Source organism: Homo sapiens, chromosome 6 (assembly GCF_000001405.40).
Source record: "Homo sapiens chromosome 6, GRCh38.p14 Primary Assembly".
NCBI lineage: Eukaryota > Metazoa > Chordata > Mammalia > Primates > Hominidae > Homo > Homo sapiens.
The window spans coordinates 92790240-92810692 of NC_000006.12; the positions used below are offsets into that span (position 1 = coordinate 92790240).

The 20453-nt window shown below is 33.9% G+C and overlaps 1 non-coding gene across 1 annotated transcript; it reads left to right on the forward strand.

The window, feature by feature from the left end:
* Positions 1-213: 213 nt before the first annotated feature.
* LOC124901507 (small nucleolar RNA U3) lies at positions 214-426 on the forward strand. The gene has a single exon (XR_007059938.1). It is a non-coding gene; the product is annotated as a small nucleolar RNA U3 (small nucleolar RNA).
* Positions 427-20453: the final 20027 nt, after the last annotated feature.

Here is a 20453-nt window from a genome sequence, read left to right on the forward strand (position 1 = left end):
AGTGAGTATGAGATTGATATAGAATTATAAAGACCAAGTAAAGATATATCATGCAAATATTAATCTCAAAAAAGTTGATATCAGATAAATGTTTTGGAAGAAGTAAATAGAGTCTTGTAACAATATAAAGTTTTTAACTCATCAGAATAGTACGAGCTGAATTCATATATTTTGAAATACACAGCCTTAAGATGAATAAAGAAAGAATATACAAAGACTCCTTTCAGGAATCATTTCTTTAGTTCCTACTAGAGAGGCTTCTCTTAACATGTGGAGCGCTGGAAACCACAAAGAGGAGGTGCAGCATTCAGTTCTAAGTGTGAAGTGGATTCTTGGTGTTGCTGTGCTGCAACTGCCATTTGCTAATGATGACCTTGCTTTTCTTACTTAGAGTAAGACAGAGAGACAGCAGTCAGCCTAAGCGGTTTCCATTTATGAAAGCAAAAAACAAAAACAAAACCACTCTAAATTTGCAAACCAAAATAGACTGTAATCAGAGTGGAAAATTTTAACATACCTCTCAGTAATTAACAAAACAACCAGACAAAAACAACAGTGAGTTTATAGTAGGCATGAACATACAAACACAACCACAATAATAGAATAATAAACTTTATTTTTTAGCACACCTGGACCACTTACAAAAATTGATTTTGTACTTGACTATAAAATCTCAACAATTATTGGAAGACTGATACAGTATAATAGTCTCTCATCACAAAACAATTAAGCTAGAAATAATGAAATAACTTTAAAACATTTCCTGTAGTTAGAAATTTAAAATTGTATTTGAAAGTACTCATGAAAAAACACTTTTTAAAAAAACAGAAATTAGAAAATACTTTCATCTAAACTTTTCTCTTTTTTTCTTTTTTTTTATTATGCTTTAAGTTCTAGGGTACACGTGCACAACGTGCAGGTTTGTTACATACGTATACATGTGCCGTGTTGGTTTGCTGCACCCATTAACTCGTCATTTACATTAGATATATCTCCTAATGCTATCCCTCCCCCCTCCCCACACCCCATGACAGGCCCCGGTGTGTGATGTTCCCATCTTTTCTAATCCTTGTAAATGCAGCTAAAACCATATTTAGGGGAAAATTTAAAATCTTAAACAATACATTATAGAGAAAGAAGCCTGAAAACTAATGAGGTAAGGATCCATCTCAAGAAGTTAGAAAAATTATAACAAATAAACCCAAGAAAATAGAATGAAGAAAAACTTTATTAAGAGCAGAAAGTGATGAAACAAACAAATACTATGGAAAGGATCAATAGAACACAAATTTTATTTTTGGATATTGTTAATAAAATTGTCTAACTTGACAGAAACTAAATTAGAAAAAAAAAGAGATGAGTAAGCAATATCAGCAATGAAATAGAGCACACAACTGCAAATGCTACAGACATTTAAAGAACAGATTTTATATATTAAAAAAAAAGAAAAAACTTTGGCCAGCACAATGGCTCACACCTGAAATCCCAGCACTTTGGGAGGCTGAGGCGGGTGGATCACCTGAAGTCAGGAGTACAATAACAGCCTGGCCAACATTGTGAAACCCCATCTCTACAAAAATACAAAACTTAGCTGGACATGGTGGCAGGTGCCTGTAATCCCAGCTATTTGGGAGGCTGAGGCAGGAGAATTGCTTGAACCCGGGAGGTGGAGGTTTCAGTGAGCCTAGATGGTGCCATTGCACTCCAGCCTGGGTGACAAGAGTAAAACTCCATTTCAATAAATAAATAAATAAATAAATAAATAAATAAATAAATAAATAAATATTTTAAAAAAGAAAAAATTTTATACCAATCAATATGAATATTTCAGATACTCATAAAATATACCAAAGTGTCTGTCTAAAAAGGAAACTGAAACACTGTATAGTCCAGAAGATTGAATCAATAATTTTTTTTCAAAGAAAACTCTAATTCAAGATGTATCTATCAGTAAGTTCCAGAAAAGCTTCAAGGAAGAAATATTTTCTATCTTACGTAAACTCTTCCACGAGGGGCAGGGGTGCTGAGAGAAAGAGAGAAAGAAGAATGGCCCAATTAATTCCACTGGGCCAAAAGTTCTTCAAACTGGATATCACAAGACTGCACTTTCAAGATCTCTCAATCTTTCTTTCCAGCTTGTATTATGTTTAATACTGACTATGACATATTCTGAAAATTATTTTTTCTTATTGATATTTAAAAAGTTATATTCTTATTGATGACATAATTTCTTCTGCAGTATCTTAAGTATAGTCACAGAAAAAGGAAAAAATAAAAGTAGTCACTTTAAAAAATATTTGGTGCTGGCAGCTCCAAATATGGCAGTGGTTAACATTTGAAACCTCCAAACTCATTAAACTCTTTAAAAATTATATGTCACAGTAGTCTCTATAAAAGGGTAAAAAATGATTTGTTTTACAATATTGCTGTATATATCATAGCTCTTCCCAGCCTTTTTTAAGATACCTTCGATAGTTTGCAAAAATGTATTTAACTGTTTCCATAAAATGAGGTAACAGAAAAAAAGTATTTATGTATCCTTAAAGACAAAATTTTTAGATTAAAATATTTCTACATGAATCTATGATTATTTAAACAGTCCAAATTAAGTAATTTGATGTAATCTCAGAGGATTTTAAATGAAAATATCAATTTTTCTACTATCTACCGAGTTCTTCATGTTTGGTTTACGCAATTTAAAAAGTAGGATCTGAACATCAGCAAAAAGTAGGAGAAGTATTAATAAAGCCTGGGAGACCTTAGAAGATCAACATGTGACACCCTCTCATTCCAGTTATTCAGTAAAGTTTATGAAATGTTTGGTATAAGGAGATATCTTGTGAAAACACCTAAGGGGATTAATATGGGTGGATGCATTGTGATAATACATAGACCACACACAGGTTAGGAGGTGAAGACAAAAGGAGTAAAGAGAAACCCACGCTTACTCACAAAAGTGCCTGAACACTGGAATCTTCAGAGTTCTTGAATCTTGTAAGGCTGTAGGCCTTGCATAAGCCATAAAATTGGGATTGGAGAATTGTTTAAGGTGATTTTTGCCCAAGTTTTTTATTGTGATGAGAAACACATAAGAAAATTGAGCATCTTGACATTTGTAAGTGATAGTTCAATAATACTAAATACATTCATAACGCTGTGCAACCATCACCACCACCTACCTTCAGAACTCTTTCCATCTTGTAAAACTGAAATTCTATAACCATTAAACAGTAACTCCCCATTCCTCCAAACTCCAGCCCCTGTCAACCACACTATATTTTCTACTGCTTATTATAATTTGGGACCTTACATTTAGGTCCTTGATCCATTTTGATTTTTTATTTTAATTTTTGTATATGGTGTTAAGTAAGGGTCTGACTTCACTTTATATATATATATGTGTATATATATAAAATATTAGACAAATATATATGTGGATATATAATTAGTCATATATATATATATGTGGATATCTAGTTTTCCAAGCACTGATTGTTCAAAAGACTTGCCATTTACCTCACTGAATGGCATTGGCCCCCTTGTCAAAAACCATTTGACCATATATATCATGGTTTATTTCTGGGTTTTCTATTATTTTCCATTGCTCTATCTCTCTGTCTTTATGCCAGCACTATCCTTTTTTTGATTACGATAGCTTTGTAGAAAGTTTTGAAATCAAAGTTTGAGTCCTCCATCTTTGCTCTTTTCCAGGTCATTTTGATTATTCAGAGTCCCTGAGATTTCCTATGAATTTTTAGATGAGTTTTTCTATTTTTGTAAAAATGCCATTGGGATTTTGATAGGGATTGCATTAAGTCTGTAGATTGCTTTGGGCAGTATTGAAATCTCAACGGGATTAAGTCTTCCAATCCATGAGCATGGGGTGTGCTTACATTTATTTGTGAATTCTTTATTTCTTTTAGCACGTTTTGTAATTTTTATTATACAAGTGCTACGATCTGAATGTGTGACCCCAAAATTTATGTGTTGAAACCTAATTCCCCATGTGATGATATTAGAAAGTGAGGCCTTCAGGAGGTGATTAGATAATGAGGACGGAGTACTCATCGATGAGATCAGTGCCCTTATGAGGGGCTGAAGAGACAAGTGTTTTCTCATTTAGCCATGTGAGGATTCAGCAAGAGGACTTTCACAAACGGAAAAGCAGGTCCTAACCAAACAGAATCTGCTAGTGCCTCTGTCTTGGATTCCCAGCCTCCAAAGCTGGGAAAAATAAATGTCTGTTGTTTACAAGCTACTTACTTTATGGCATTTTGTTATAACAGCCCAAACAGACTAAGACAACAAGTCTTTTGCCAACTTGGTTAATTCTTAAGTATTTTGTTGTTTTTGATGACATTGTAAATTCAATTTTTTTTAAACTTTCTTTTCAGATTGTTCATTTTTAGTGTATAGAAATGTGACTGATTTTTGTATGTGGACTATATATCCTCTTGCTTTGCTGAATTGATTTATTAGTTCAAACTTTAGGAATTTTTTTATAAAGTTCTACATATGAGATCATATAATCTGCAAATAGAGATGTTTATTTCTACCTTTCCAATGTAGGTGCCTTTTATTTCTTTTTCTTTCCCAATTGCTCTGGCTAAAACTTCCAGTACTGTAACAAATCTGTAACAAATAGAATTGGTAAAAGCAGGCATCCTTGCCTTGTCATGTTTTTAGAGGAAAAGCTTTTACTCTTTCACCACTGAGTATACTGTTACCTGCAGGATTTTCATATATGACTTTTATTATATTGAGGTAGTTTTCTTCTATTCCTAATTTGTTTAGTTTTTATATCATGAAAAGGTGTTGAATTTTGTCAAATGGTTTTTCTGCATCAACTGAGATGATCATATGTGTTTTTTCTTCATTCTCTTAATGTAATGCATTATACTGATCAATTTTTATATGTGGAGACCATTCCAGGAATAAATCCCACTTGGTCATGGGATGTAATCTTCGTAATTTACTGCTGAATTCAATATGCTGGTATTTTATTGAAGACTTTTTACATTAATGTTTATTAAAGATATCTATAGTTTTCTTTTTGTGTAGTGTCTTTTTCTGGCTTGGGTATCTGGAAAATACTGGCCTCATAGAATGAGTTAGAAAGTGTTCCCTCCTCTTCAATACTTTGACAAATTTTGAAAAGGATTGGTATTAGTGCTTCTTTAAATATTTGGTAGCGTTCACCAGTGAAACCGTCAAGTCAAGGGCTCTCTTTATTAGGACTTTTTTTTATTATTACTTCAATCTTCTCACTAGTTATAGGTCTATTCATATTTTCATTTATTTGTGATTTAACCTTGGTAGGTCTTATGTTTCTAGAAATTGATTCATTTCCTTTAGGTTATCAAATTTTTTGGCATACAATTGTTCATAATACACTCTTAAAATCATTTTTATTTCCATAGAATACATAGTAATATTCCACTTTTATTTCAGATTTTAGCAATTTGAGTCCTACTCTTTGTTCTTATTAGCTAGCTAAAAGGTTTCTCAATTTTGTTGATCACTTCAAAGAACTAGCTTTGGTGCTTTGATTTCATTGGTTTTGGGTTTCATCATATTCTCTATTGCTTTTCTGTTCTCTATTTTGTTCACCTCTGCTCTAATCTGTCTTATTTCCTTTCTTCCGCTAGCACTGGGTGTATCTTGCTTTTCTTTTGCTAGTTCCTTAAATTGTAAAGCTTGGTTGTTGATTTGAGATTTTTCTTGATTTTTAACATAGGCATTTATAGCCGTAATTTTACCCTTTGCACTCACTGTATTCCAAAAGTTTTGGTATCTTGTGATTATGTTTTCATTCATCTCTTAGTTTTTCTTTAATTTTTCATGTGATTTTTTTCTTTGATCCATTGTGTTTAAGAATGTATTAATTGATTTCCACAAATTTGTGAATTTTCCTCTTTCCTTTCTCTTATTGATTTCAAACTTCATCTTATTCTGGTCAGTGAAGATACTTTGCATGAAGTATATCTTTTAAAATCTATTAAGACTTCTTTTCTGGTCTAACATATGGTCTATCTTGGAAAATGTCGCATGTGCACTTGAGAAGAATGTGTCTGTTATTGTTTTTGGGTAGAGTGGGCTGTATACGTCTGTTAGATCTTGTTGGCATACTGTGTTGTACAAGTCATCTATTTCCTTACTTCTCCCTGGTTGTTCTATACATTGAGAATTTGATTTTAAGTCTCCAACTATTATTGTAGAACAATTTCTCCCTTCAATTCTGTCAGTTTTTTAAATATATTTTGGTGGTCTGTCATTAGGTATGTACATGTTTATGACTGTGATATCTTCTTGTTGTATTAAAACTTTTATAACACAAAATGTCCTTCTTTGTCTTTTCCAATTTTTTTAAAATTTAAAACATATTTTGTCTAGTATTATTATAATCACCTTGCTCTCTTTTGGTTACTACCTGCATGAAATATCTGTTCCCCTCCTTTACTTTTTAATCTATTTGTGTCTTTGGATGTAAATTTAATTCAAATATAGGAAGCAGGCAGTTGGATTATGGTTTTTTAATCTATTCTACAAATCTCTGTCTTTTCATTGGATATTTTAAATTATTTTCATTTAAAGTAATTGCTAAGGCTGGGCACAGTTGTTCACACCTGTAATGCCAGTACTTTGGAAGGCTGAGGCAGGAGAATCACTTGAGGCCAGGAGTTCAAGAGCAGCCTGGCCAAAATGGTGAAACGCCGTCTCTACCAAAGATACAAAAATGAGCCAGGTGTGGTGGTGCGTGCCTGTAATCCCAGCTTCTTGGGAGGCTGAGATAGGAGAATCACTTGAATCCGAAAGGCGGAGGTTGCAGTGAGCCAAGATTGCACTACTGGACTCCAGCCTGGGCAACAAAGAGACTTCGCCCCCAACCCCCCATAAATAAATAAATATTAAAATAAAATAAAGTAATTGCTGATAAGTAAACTTACATCTGTCACCTTGCTATTTGTTTTCTAGATGCCTTACAGCTTTTCTGTCCCTCACTTTCTGCATTACTCATCTCCTTTGTGTTTAGTTGATTTTTTTTAAGTAAAACATTTGAAGTTCTTTTTTATTTTCTTTTGTTTGTATTCTATGGCTATTTTCTTTGTGGTTATCATGGCAATTACATTTATCATCATACAGTTATAACACTGCAATTTAAATTTATATTAGCTTAACTTCAATAACATGCACAAGCATTGCTCCTTTATCAGCTTTATCACCACCTTTTGTTGATGTTACAATATTACATGTTTATATATTGTGTGCTCCAAACATCATGAAATAAAATTCATTATTTCTTGATGATTGTAGAAAACAAAACCTGGATTTACAAACCAAGATTACAATAGTATTAGCTTTTAGACTAAATTTTTTTAATGTAATAATATATTAGACCATGTAGAAAATAAAAATTGTCATTACAGATGATTGTTATAATAATATTAGCTTTTCTTATTGTCCATGCGTTACTTTTATTGAGATATTTATTTCTTCATATGGCTTCAAGTTAATGCCTACTGTCCTTTTATTTCACCCAGCAGGACTCCCTTAAACATGACAAAACAAACAAACAAACAAACAAAAACCTCCCTAGCTTTTGCTTACTTGTAAATTTCTTAATTCCTCCCTCATTTATGGACAATTTTGCTAGATACAAGACTCCTGATTGACAGTATTTTTCCAACTACAACTTTGAAATATTTGCCCACTGCCTTCTGTCCTCCAATGTTTCTAATGAGAAATCTCATAATTTTATTGAGGTACTCTTGTATATGACAAGTTACTTCCCTCTTGCTGCTTTCAAGATTCTCTGTCTTTGGCTTGTAAAAATTTGATTATAATGTTTCTCCATGTAGATGTCCTTGAGTTCATTTTACCTACAGTTTGTTGAGCTCTTTGGATGTTTATATTCATATCTTTCATCAAATTTAGAAAGTGTTTAGCTATTATTTTTTAAAATATTCTCTCTGGAACTTTGTCTCTTCTCCTTTGGGACTCCTGCAATTTTATGTTGATTTCTGCTTAATGGTGTCCCACAGATTTCTTAGGTTTAGTTCACTTTTCCTCAAACTTTTTTCTTTCTGTTTCTCAGACTTGATAATTTCCATTGTCCTACCTTCAAGGTCACTGATTCCTTCTTCTCCCTACTCAAATCTGCCTTTGAATCCTTCTAGTATTTTTTTTTTCATTTTAACTATTGTACTTTCCAGTTCTATAATTTTTTTGGTTCATTTCTAGGTTTTCTAACTCTTTATTGATATTTTCATTTTGTTCATATATTGTTTTCTTAGCTTTCTCCCCATCTTTAATTATTTGAGCATATTTAAGACAGTTCTTCGAAATCTTTATCTAGTAGATATACTTTCTGTTCTTTTCAGGAACAATTTCCATAGTTTATTTTTTCTTTGAGTGGGCCATACTTTTCTGTTTCTTTGTGTGTCTTGTGATTTTTTTTTTTTTTTTGGCAAGAACTGGACATTTGAATCTAATAATGTGGCAATTCAGGAAATCATATTCTTTCCCTTCCCCAGAGTTTGCTATTTGTTGTTTTTATTTATTCTTTTTAAATTGTTGTAGGTTGTCCCTGTGCTAAGGATCAGCCTGTGATGTAAACTTAAGGTTTTCTCGGGTGTTTCCTGAGTCTGTGCCTTTCCCTGGCAAGTATGGTCACTTTCTAATTTTCCTGTATATGCTGTTATTTGTGAATGTCCTAGTCATAAATATCTGGCTCCCAAAAAAGGGAAAAGAGAAAAAATGAAAGAGTGGAGGAATGGGTGCCAACCCTTTAAATCCCCTGGAAGTCACTTTAGCTATAGGGTGGACAGCTTGCAACAATGAGGGAGGTATAAGAACAATGGCTACCCACCTCCTTTTCTGCACCTCAGTAATCAGAAGCAGCAATCAGCAATCAGAGCACAGCTCCCTAATATTTGGAGAACAGGGTCCTTTTTGCCCACCCTAGCTCCCACTAACTGTATGCAAGCTGCTCCTGGAATGCATGCACACCTGCTTACCCTACATGAGGGATAAGTGGTTGCTACTATGCTGAGAACTAAAATTGACCTATCAAGCCTTCCCCTGGGGGTTGCAAGCCTTCAATAGACTCCAGATTTCCAAAACAGTTACAAGAGTCAGAGACGGCCAGTGCAATTACTATTGAGGTAGAAAGACTGATTGCTGGTGCTTCCTACTCCACCATCTTCCCAGAATTCTCCTTGGATATTGTTCAAGGTAATTTTGCCTATCATATGAGGCAGAGATACCCGAGCCTTTCATAAAGCTTAGGCAGGGAATAACTCTCTCTTCATGCTTAGGACTGAGAGCCACTCATGCAAATTAATGCCACCAAATATCTGTGAGGATATTAGCCATGTAGGATTCAGGGTTGGAGTCCTAGAGATAGTTTTTACTTTATTCTAAAAGATGCACATAGTACAATTTTAATATAGTGCAAATTTTGTCTTGAGCACTCCCTAATCCTTGATTTACCAACCTCCTTCTTCATGCCAACAACCAAAGAGAGGCATAATTCTCTCATATTAAGCTTAAATGTCCTGGGACTTCACTTTTTCTAATGTGCCTCCATGCTTATTTTCTTTCACTCTTTCAAAGGTGTAACTAAACATAAAGTTTCACTTAAGATATTAAATACTCAATTTTTAAGGGTATCTTATATTTTCTGTACATAAGATTTTATCCACAAATAGTGCAAGGAGTAATATTATATAATACATGACAATTTTATCTGAGGCATGCCAGGGTCGTAACTTGAAGGCAATGATAAGTGATTAAAGTATTCCATTCCTTTTTAGGCCAGTAAGGAAGGAGGGTTCTAGGTGTGTGTGTGTGTGTGTGTGTGTGTGTGAATGCACGCACATACACACGCATGCAAATATGTTTGAGAACACTGTGGCCCTCAAAACAAAACACAAATGTTACTCTTCTTGATCAAAGGAATTCCAGGAATTTATGACACAGGATGATATAAGAATGAACATGTCAATTCTTACTATACATTCAAATGGAGAAGGAACAAAAATAGTGCAGTGCCCTACCCACAATATCATGTTAGTGTCCTTTCCTTTCCTACTGCAAAACTTCCTCAAACCCCATCAGATGAATATGGGCACCCCCTCCCTCCACATACATGTAGGATTGTGACTTGGCCAGTTCCGTCCAATGGCGCCATCAAAGTTTGCCTCTCTCCTTCTTGAAGCTCCCCCAACATCCTTGGATTGCTGTATATAGCATTCAGTTACCCTTGTAAACAGGCAGACCTAGTCTCATCCCTGATTATCTTTGTCATTACAGCAAGGAATTTTGAGGTGTAAGAGTAAAGAGGAACTGAGGACATGAAGGGAGAGAGTAGCTCTGAGTCAGTAAGCAAGGCTTTGAATTCACTGCAGTTGCAAGCAGCATGGCAGTATCTTATAATTCAAAAACAAAACTTTAATGTTTTCAGCTCATTCTAAACTTTTTACGGGGCAGCAAGGTCATTATTACTGACATTCTCAGTTTTGGGATCTTCTATTTCAGAAGCCACCATCACATTGCTTTCTGACTAAAACCACAAGGTTTGTTTGACTGAATCAGACTTGATTTGCTTAGTGTCAGTCTTTTTTTTTAGGACGCCATTTTAATCCATATCATCTGCTGTCCATTACAAGAATAATATCTCTTAAGTTTTCCCTCAGTAGGGAGAGTGACTTGTTTTCTTTCCCTTCATATAAGGGTTCTTTTAGCCAAAGGAACTCTAGCCTTGCAATGTTTGTTTTGTGTGATTTCTGTTATTTTTATTGTACAATTTTAACACCCTACTCTACCCTCTACTCCAGACTAGCAAGGCTTGCAGAATTAATTTATCAACGTCCCTTTGAGTCCGTTTCTTATTTTCTCATGAGTTAACTGCATTCACATTTTAAACCAAATCTTGGCAGTAAGAGCCCTAGTGCTAGCTGTTGCCTCATCTATGATTTTCCATGAAAAAATCATCTCTCTCATGAAATTCTTCCTGAGAGTACCAAAGCTCTCTTATAGCAGCCAAGACTCACTGCAAAATCCCTGAGACAAAGTGAATTTAAGATTGGCAGCAAAGACTGTAGGCGGTGCTGAGCTGTAAGATAGCTCAGCTGTTGCATTTCTTCTTAACGAGCATTATATGTATGCCTGGCCCCTCATTTCTCAAGCACCAATGAAATTTCTAATGATTTCTTGGGTTTCTACCACAGTGTTGATGACTGTCTCTTGTTTCACCCATGTGGGTGCACGTCTCTATAAATATTTTCCAAAGAGAGTCAGAAACATCTTCCCTCCCACAAGCAAATCTTAGTATGAGTTGTTACAGTGGGGCAAACCAGGGACTGGATGCCGAATTGGTAGAAGTCCTCCCCACACCCTCCAGCCTGCAAGGCGGTTAGCAGCACCTAGGCAGTGTTTGGGTATCTTGTCTTAGAACCTGCTTTCAGGCTCTCATCTTGCAATTTGTCTCTCCAATTTCTCCTCATCAATAGAAAATAAAGTAGAGGACCATTTATTGCCTGGTTGAACATACAATTGTGTCAACATTTCATTACTGGTCTCCATGAGCTTTACTCAGAGTTCGATAATGAGTCCCCAAGGGATACTCTTTCAGAAAGCCATCTCTCTATAAGAATGTCACCTAAGTTGCCAAGACCTGTCAAAAACTCTTAAAGGTTGGAGATAGCCTGTCAAGTTTCATGGATGCTGTTAGATGACACGAGACTCCTGGGGCAGAGGTAAAGGATGGTTTATTGTAATAGCAGAACCAAAGGATCAGTATTTGTACTATTTCCCCAAGCCCTGATTCTTTCAGGGCAACATGAAGTGGTCTACGTGGTACCCACATTGTATTATAGGAGGGAAAACCTGAGTTTAGGGGACCTGAATATTTTATATTGTATAATAAGTATGCCTACCCTTTCATCCCAAGGGAGACAGTCATCTCTGTCTTCCATGAGTATAAGCAAACCTGTTACTTCAGAGGGAGTGTTAACTTTATGATCCATGACTATTCTTTATACAAATATCCTTTAAAAGATACTCTGGAACAAAGAGCAGTCAAGTGTGCCTGTTTGCAAGATGTACAGAAACAAAAGACCCGTGAAGAACTGTCTTCCAACATTTCACCAGTAAATGAAGAGAATTTCAGGAATAAATTGGTTTGCCTAGTTGATTTTTGCCACCAGAATTTTTGCCAAATAGAATTATTTGGTGGTATGCTAAATCACATGCATGCAAATGAAAAGATAACAAGCAATGTACAAATCCACTTTTCATATTTATTACAAAAACAAGCTAGAATAAGCAACTTTTGGAGCTACGGTTCTTCAGAGTTGGAAAAATAGTATATATTATCTAAATCAAATAATAGAAAAGAAAAAATGAAGTACAATAATGGTATAATAAATAACTGCAAACAAAAATGTGTAATGATAGAGACAAAAATGGTGGCCAAAAATGAACACCAGGTTAGATCAGCACAATGGAGTAAGAATCTGTAATAAAATGAAGCAAGAATATGTTTTGGCTTTGCAGCTAAAATCAATTTTGGCAGAATGAGATTTACTACTTAAAATTGTGTCTGCCTTTTGAAAATAAATATTGAAGATGATTCTATGACATTGAATGATAGCAGGTAAAAACAAATTTTGAAAAAGTAGAGGTAGTTCAATTTTAAGTTTTGAAGTTTAGGAGGTAAGAGAGATAGTATTAAATAGCACAAGAAAAATAAAGGAACGCATAAATATTGCAAGGCTAGACTTTGGGGAAAAGAAATAGTTAAATTAAAAGAAAGATGGAAAAAATCTCTCTCCTACCAGTTGAAAATTTTCAGACTAAATAACCCATTTTATGTGACTCGAGTGAGCCTTCCCAAGACACTCATACACTTAAAATTTGCATAAGCTTAGATTAATCTAGCAACTTCAGATTCAGGAAATTATGAGGACCTTCACTCTGTTAGCAGTCTCATTTTGACATCCTAGTTGTGAGTAATGTGAAGAGAAAGGGAGAAAGGAGCAGGTACGAAAGAAGAGGAAGAGAAGGGAATAAAGGAAGGGAAAAAGAAAAAAAAAGGAAGAAGAGAAGGAGGAGAAAGAAGGGAAGGAGAAAGGGAGATAAAAAGAAGACAGACTAATGGGATAAAAGGACGAAAAGAAAAGAGAAAGAGAAAAATCCTCATTCAGTTCCCAGAAGTATAAGTAACTTATAATTGTTCCAGTAAGTACAGATGGACAAAACAATTTGCTTATTGGTGCATTTTGTAAGCTCTAAAAACAGATATATATGATTTGTTTGGTTTCTTTTATTATTAAAAGATAAAAACAGGCTGCAATGGCATATGAGTGACACAAATATGGAGGCAGGTTAGAAGCCAACTTTTACTGTAGTAAATGGCCAAACTTACTCACTGCTACTCTTTTCCATCCAAAGTCAACACGTTCTCAGGCTTTAGCACGGCGGGGAAAAGGGTTGTCAATATTTGTACTGAATCTTATTGTTAGATTTCTTAAAAGGTAAATGATTAAAAGGCTGGAATGTAATGAATTACTGAATTTATATATATATATATATATATATATATTTTTTTTTTTTTTTTTTTTTTTTTTTTTTTTTTTGAGACGAGTCTCGCTCTGTCCCCCAGGCTGGAGTGCAGTGACGCGATCTCGGCTCACTGCAGGCTCCGCCTCCTGGGTTCAGGCCATTCTCCTGCCTCAGCCTCCCGAGTACCTGGTACTACAGGCGCCAGCCACCATGCCCACTAATTTTTTGCATTTTTAGTAGAGACGGGGTTTCACTGTGTTAGCCAGGATGGTCTTGATTTCCTGACCTCGTGATCTGCCCGTCTTGGCCTCCCAAAGTGCTGGGATTACAGGCGTGAGCCACCGCGCCCGGCCTGAATTATATTTCAAGAGTTTCCAAATCACGTTCAATATTCTCTAGAATATTAGTAAATTTAAATGCATTCACTCGTTTTTAAAGGACATTTGGTTCAATAATTTTAAATTAAATTGTTTTATTATGGTACTCTCTTTTGGGGAGGGAGATGATAAAAGGTGTACTGAGTATCAGTCTTTTCCTCACTGTTATTAGAACATTAAAAGATTTATTCATAAAGCTGAAGTTTATTTCAATATCTCTCATGCATTTGTCTATTTTATAAAAGGATACAATGTACTCTAAGAATGTCTGGGTTAATATTAATATCAGAAACATAGACTGAACGTTAGATTGTATTACATTTTATATTCCTTAACACATGGCACCTTTGAATTTTGTAATGCTATCCAAATGTATACATATGAACTATTTGATATAAAATTCCTTTAATAACTTCAGAGTCTGTCAGAATTCAGACATTTTGTGTATTGCTTGCTATTCAAAGGAAAATTATTTGCACCATTTTGGTGTATTGATTTGTCTGTTTTGTTTCCTGGAGAGAGTCTATTATGGAACTGAAAAAAATATTCAACAGTCATTTTGCTCTAACTCTCAGTAAGAAGGAATTGTTTTAATATGATTATAAATTAAAGACTAAAGTAAAATCTTCCCTATTTATTTTGGTCAGTTCAGCTATGTTTCTCAACTGAAATTATCTTCTAAGAAGTTACAAACAAAATGTTAAATACATGGGAACTTCAACGTTGCAGGGGCCTTCAATTACCATTTTAAAATGAAATTTTTTAAAGATAAACTTGACATATACCCAAGTATTTCATGGCTCTTTATAAGATTTTGTTTTGCATCATTCAGTATTATGCAAATAAGGCTGAAAAGGTTGGTGAATTTGAACACATTTGTTAGATTCCATGTACTCCTATACAGGGATCCTGAAAATACTTTGTATTAAGTTCTTGTTCAATTAGACCAAATTTCCTCCACTTGGCTAAGCTTCATGGAAACATCACACTTTATTTTCTACCTACCAAAAGCAGGGTATTTCAAGATATCTACAGTAGCCTAAATGTGATAGTTTTAAGATTGCAACTTTTGTATCCTACTAATGTTTTTAACATTTATCTTCACTAATATTTAAACAGTTGAACATTTTTTAAAAATAAGAAATAGAAACGTCCTTTCAAGGGTCATGAAGGTCTTATCATCCTTGAGATAGATTGGTGGAATGTAGGCTACTCTGTCCCTTCATCTTTCCATCAATCTACTGAACAGCGTGGCTGCAGTCATTTACACACCAGGAAGAAATAGAGTCCCTGAGCCACTGCTTGTTCAGTGTGTTATTTCACTCTCCCAATGTCAGTTGAAAGTGTTTTCATCCTTCAGTGTTTTCTCAGCCTGGCAGAAAAATGGATAATGGATGATGATGTGGATGACAAAGTGCATGGACTCTGAAGCTGATGAAGAGGAGAAAGAATTTGATAAGAAAAGCCACAGCATTATGAAAAATCTCAAACACACACAAGTGGAGCCCTTATGTTGCTTCTCTGTTACAGAATGCTTTTCTCTCTCGAGCTCATGCCATCTCATCTATTTGCTTAGATACGGTGCTAAAAAATGCAGACACGTAAAATGTGTTAGTAAGAAGGATTATTATCATTTTTCCAGTAAGTGTTTAAGGTAGATTTATGAATCCTTACATTTTCAATTTCCATTTTTTTCTCCTCTTTTAGATCACTATGGCAAACTTTCACTATTAACAACAATTCCTATTCTCTAACCTAAAAATAAAAGTTAGATAAGAGTAACCTAAACTTACATAAACTAAAATTTTGGTATGTTATCATGAAAGGTTGTACTGTACATTTACCTATGAATGAGAAGAGCATGCCCCTTTCTGATGGTGAATTGCAGAATATGAAGAGCCATGGTTATCAGAAGAAATAGAAAAAGGTGAGGTATGGTATCAGGAGTCCCAAGAGAACAAAATATGTTTGGTTGATGAAACAAAAAATATTTTGTTCATCTGTCATTGTTTTTTCTTCTTTCTCTGTATTTCTTTCCCATCACCACTCTTGCCTATACATTTTTACTTCCTAGTATTTTCATCAATGGTGTCTTTGCAGTTTCCCCCCAAATACCTGATCTGTGGTTGGTGTTTGTTTCTAGAATGAATGATTTGTTTCCTTGCCTCTAATATTTATTTTTCTTTAAGTCTTTGTTGGCTCGCCTATGATGTAACAAGCCCTGTGCTAACAGAACAATACAATAAGGCACAATCATCTGTGAACATCAGAACACAGCATGTGCTGTACTATGTGCACAACTAGGAATCACATAGTTCACATCCTCTTTTGGTTTTCACTCAAATACGTCCAATTCTCCTTCTCCAGTTTGCCTGATTAAAGTTTATTAGTGCTTCAAGTCTCAGCTAAAACATTATTTTCTCCAAGAGTATGTCCTCAAACCTCTAGAGCAGGTTAGATGTATTTGCTATTTGCTCCCACACAACCTTGTGTGTAACTGGTTTGTGGTATTAAGAGCTAAATTTCCAGTAACTAATACTATTGCCAGGTAACTGGTGCTTAATATAAATTTTTATTTTAATGGAATTCAAGGAGTATAAGCTAAAAAATAATAAAAGATATATTGTTTATCATAGTTTTATTATGTTTCAAAGAAAGTATCACATATGTTTTAGAACGAAGAACAAGCACATACCTAAAAATTTAGTTTATACATATGCATATAAACTAAAAAATAATACAGGTTATATTGTTTGTCATAGTTTTATTATGTTTCAAAGAAAGCATCACATATGTTTTAGAACTAAGAAGAGCAAGCATATACATAAAAAGGAGGTCAAGATCCTATAAAATATATTAAATCTTCCCTCTCTTCTCCTCAATTTTTGGTTCATTAGATAAGTAAACAAATTGCAGAAATTGTTAAGAAAAGAAAATATATTGAAATTCATTATGATAGATTTCCCTACTTTTTGTTTGAATGTGTAAATGAAAAGTATCCCAATAGCTGAGGCTTAAAAGTATGTGTAACGAAGGTGAGCAAAGTATGTATTGATTTTACTTAACAAGTTGGACAATTAGCATGTTTCTAAAATTTTAATTACTTGACTCTACCTAGCATTCTCCAGCCTGATGTTTTTGCAATTACTCTGAAAGTTCCCTAAACCTAACTTGCACGGAGCTCTGTGTTTAAACCCACGTACCCATCCCAGTCTTTCCTGGCCATTCAACACGTAACGGATTCAAATCTTTGCTAATTCATTCACAAGAATCAAAGGCCAGGCTGGAGAGCAGTGCCTTGAGCAGGAGACATGGCTTCTGTGTTAAGTGTTTATAATATTTATATTCTATTCAAGTCAAAATTTTGTGCTATTGAAAATATTATCTCAAGCTACTTCTAATTATTCTCCAACAACAGTGATGAGTGTTTACTATTTCGAATAGATTTTTTGTCTGTCCCTCCTACCATCAAATAATTCTTAAACTCTCTCTATAGGAATGTTTTTCTCTTTAGACCATGTTTCTAGTCAGAGTGAAGCAAAAAGTCCTTGTCATGTGTCCAACATGATTGCTAGCTATGAGAGGTAAATAGAATAAAATGCTAATCAAACTTTTAAAATCTTCTTCTGTTTCCTTGGGACAATTATTTAAAAAATAAACAATTAATATTTTAACAATATAGTTATTAATAATAACAATAACACAATGTGAGATTAAATCATTTTAATTTTTCTGCAGGTTAGATGAAAGATACATGGTGCTCATGTACAGCAACATCAGATATTATTTTTGGAGTCACAATGTTTTTAAAAAATGACAACTTTACTTTTAAACTTAAACATACCCCGATAGATAGATAGATAGACATGATAAGCAGTCTGAGAGTAAGAAAACAATTTCTAAATTTGAATGGATATTATACATATTATATTTATTTCCCAGAAATATAAACAAATATATGCTTATATGGATATTACTATAATTATATATATATATATAACTGTATGGATATAACCATAACATGTATTTCTATAACTATATGGATATAACCTATATAACTATATGGATATAACCATAATTATATGGATATAACTATAAAGAAAAAAGATTTGTTTTTCTTATGTGAATCATTAAAAAAATTAAATTGTTCTGTAATTACAATTTATCTATGCTTCAGTGCTCACAGTTTTTAAATTAAATATCGAATACTTAAGACAATTTGTACATAGGTTTCATGGTTTTCAACCACGTCTAATGAAAGTTTCAGTCTAAACAAAATAAAAACATTTGGGAGGGGATGAATGCTCATCTGCTATTAAAGTTTCCAGTACTTTGTCCTGGAGCTTCTTAAATTTTTACATTCGCCAAAAGGAGATTTTAGTAGTCAATCATCACTTGCAAATTAAATATTTTTTAAGTATTGTATTCCACTATTAGTATAAAGTGTTGTTAGTAAGCAAAACTATTCTTTTGATTTGTCAGAATCTTATTTAGACTTTTTCTAAAAAAGCCTTCTACTGAATATAGAATATTAAAGATTTGAAATAAAATGTTGACCCTGGCCGGGCGTGGTGGCTCATTCCTGTAATCCCAGCACTTTGGGAGGCCGAGGCGGGCGGGTCACCTGATATCAGGAGTTTGAGACCAGCCTGGCCAACATGGTGAAACCCTGTCTCTACTAAAAGTGCAAAAAATTAGCTGGGCATCGTGGCTGGCACCTGTAGTCCCAGCTATTTGGGAGGCTGAGGCAGGAGAATCACTTGAACCTGGGAGGCAGAGGTTGCAGTGAGCCAAGATCACGCCACTGCACTCTAGCCTGGGTGACAGAGCGAGGGTTCATCTAAAATAAATAAATAAATAAACAATTTTTTAAAAGTTGACCCTTGAAAATAAAATCAACATACAATTCAATGTTTTTCATTATTTCATGAGCTTATTCATTTTCTGATCTTTAAGATTCCTGATAGTAAAGACAATGTTTACTTCACACACGTATATATATATGTTTTAAACAGCAGTACACATTGTAACTCTTGTCATAAGTTGCTTCAAGTAAATGAAAGCCAATAAATAGAAAGTTGCAGATTAAAGAAAATAAAATACTGACAGTGTTGGCATGCTTATGATGTTCTGCTGAGATTTTTAAATAGAAAAGTATGTGAGAGGTCATTTACCTTATCGTACAAAATCAGGAACAAGCTAGTTGTAGCAGCAGTTCGAAACTTTTAAGGAAATGCTACTTGTGCATATCAGGTGTACAGCTGACATTATTTCTATTATCAGAGACTAAGCAAAACTCTGTGATTGCTGTTAATACTAAAATGTTAAAAAAAAAAAAAAGGTGAGGTCTTTGTTTCATAGTTGCTAGTGTTGGCAAAAATGAAATGTTACTTCCACAGCATAAAACTGACAGTTTCTTCACCTTCTAAAAGTGCAGACTATTATTAGCATTTTGTATATAAAACAAGTAAAATTTGAGAGTCTTTCGAAAAATGTATGTCTATAGATGGATAAGTATGTACATAATTGCAAATTGTATAAATTGCATAATAGGGAATACAGATTTTTTTCTAATTATTTCTAAATAAATCTTTAATTAATTTATTTATTTCTAAATAAATCTTTCTCATTTATTTCTATGTGACTGCCTTAAAAGTGAGTGAAAGATTTATACATATTTCCTTTATCCAACTTTTCCATTCCTCTTCCATGTTCTCATCTGAGATTATAATTCTTCCCTACCCTGAATGGCAGGTACCATATTGCGGAACAAAACATTTCAGGTGATTCTGGCCACTGTTCTAATGGAAAAGTAGAATAAATTCTTATTAATCCTACAATCAAATTATAAGTTTGAGTGCAACTTTGAGATGTTTGTAGGAATTGATTTGAACCAAGTCTTCAGAATCTTTCTAGTTTTATGCAAAGCTTACCTAAATTCTTCTGAGTCGTGAGAACTTTGGTATTACCCCTTACATACATCCTTTGTGACTAAGGTATTCATCCAGGAAAAAAAGTCCTTTCAAGTCCTAGTCATAGGAGGACAGTCGTTTTCTGAGGATTAAAATGGAAATGGAAACTTAAAAGGTTGGTATTTTCTTAGTGGATACCACATTTAAAAATATGTTTAACATAATAGTCCAATTTAAAGGAAAATGCTATCATTATAGACATAAGATAGTAGTCTTTTATTCTTAACTATATACTAATCTCCATGAATACAAAGCAAGGTATGTTCAACTACTAAACCTGAATATTGCAATATTTCCATATTAAGCTTTATTTTCTTTAGCTTTCTCATATACTAAAAGGACCCCATAAGGAGTTGAGAAATTTTTAGGATTATAACACACCCTCAGAAACAGTCTGAATACATATACTTTAGTAAATATATAGAATCACAAAATGCAACTACCTCTCAAAATTTATTTTAAATCTATAAATAAATCACCATTTCTATTACAGCCCACTGAAAAGACAAAGAAAAAAAGTTTAGTTTCTCTGCTGAAT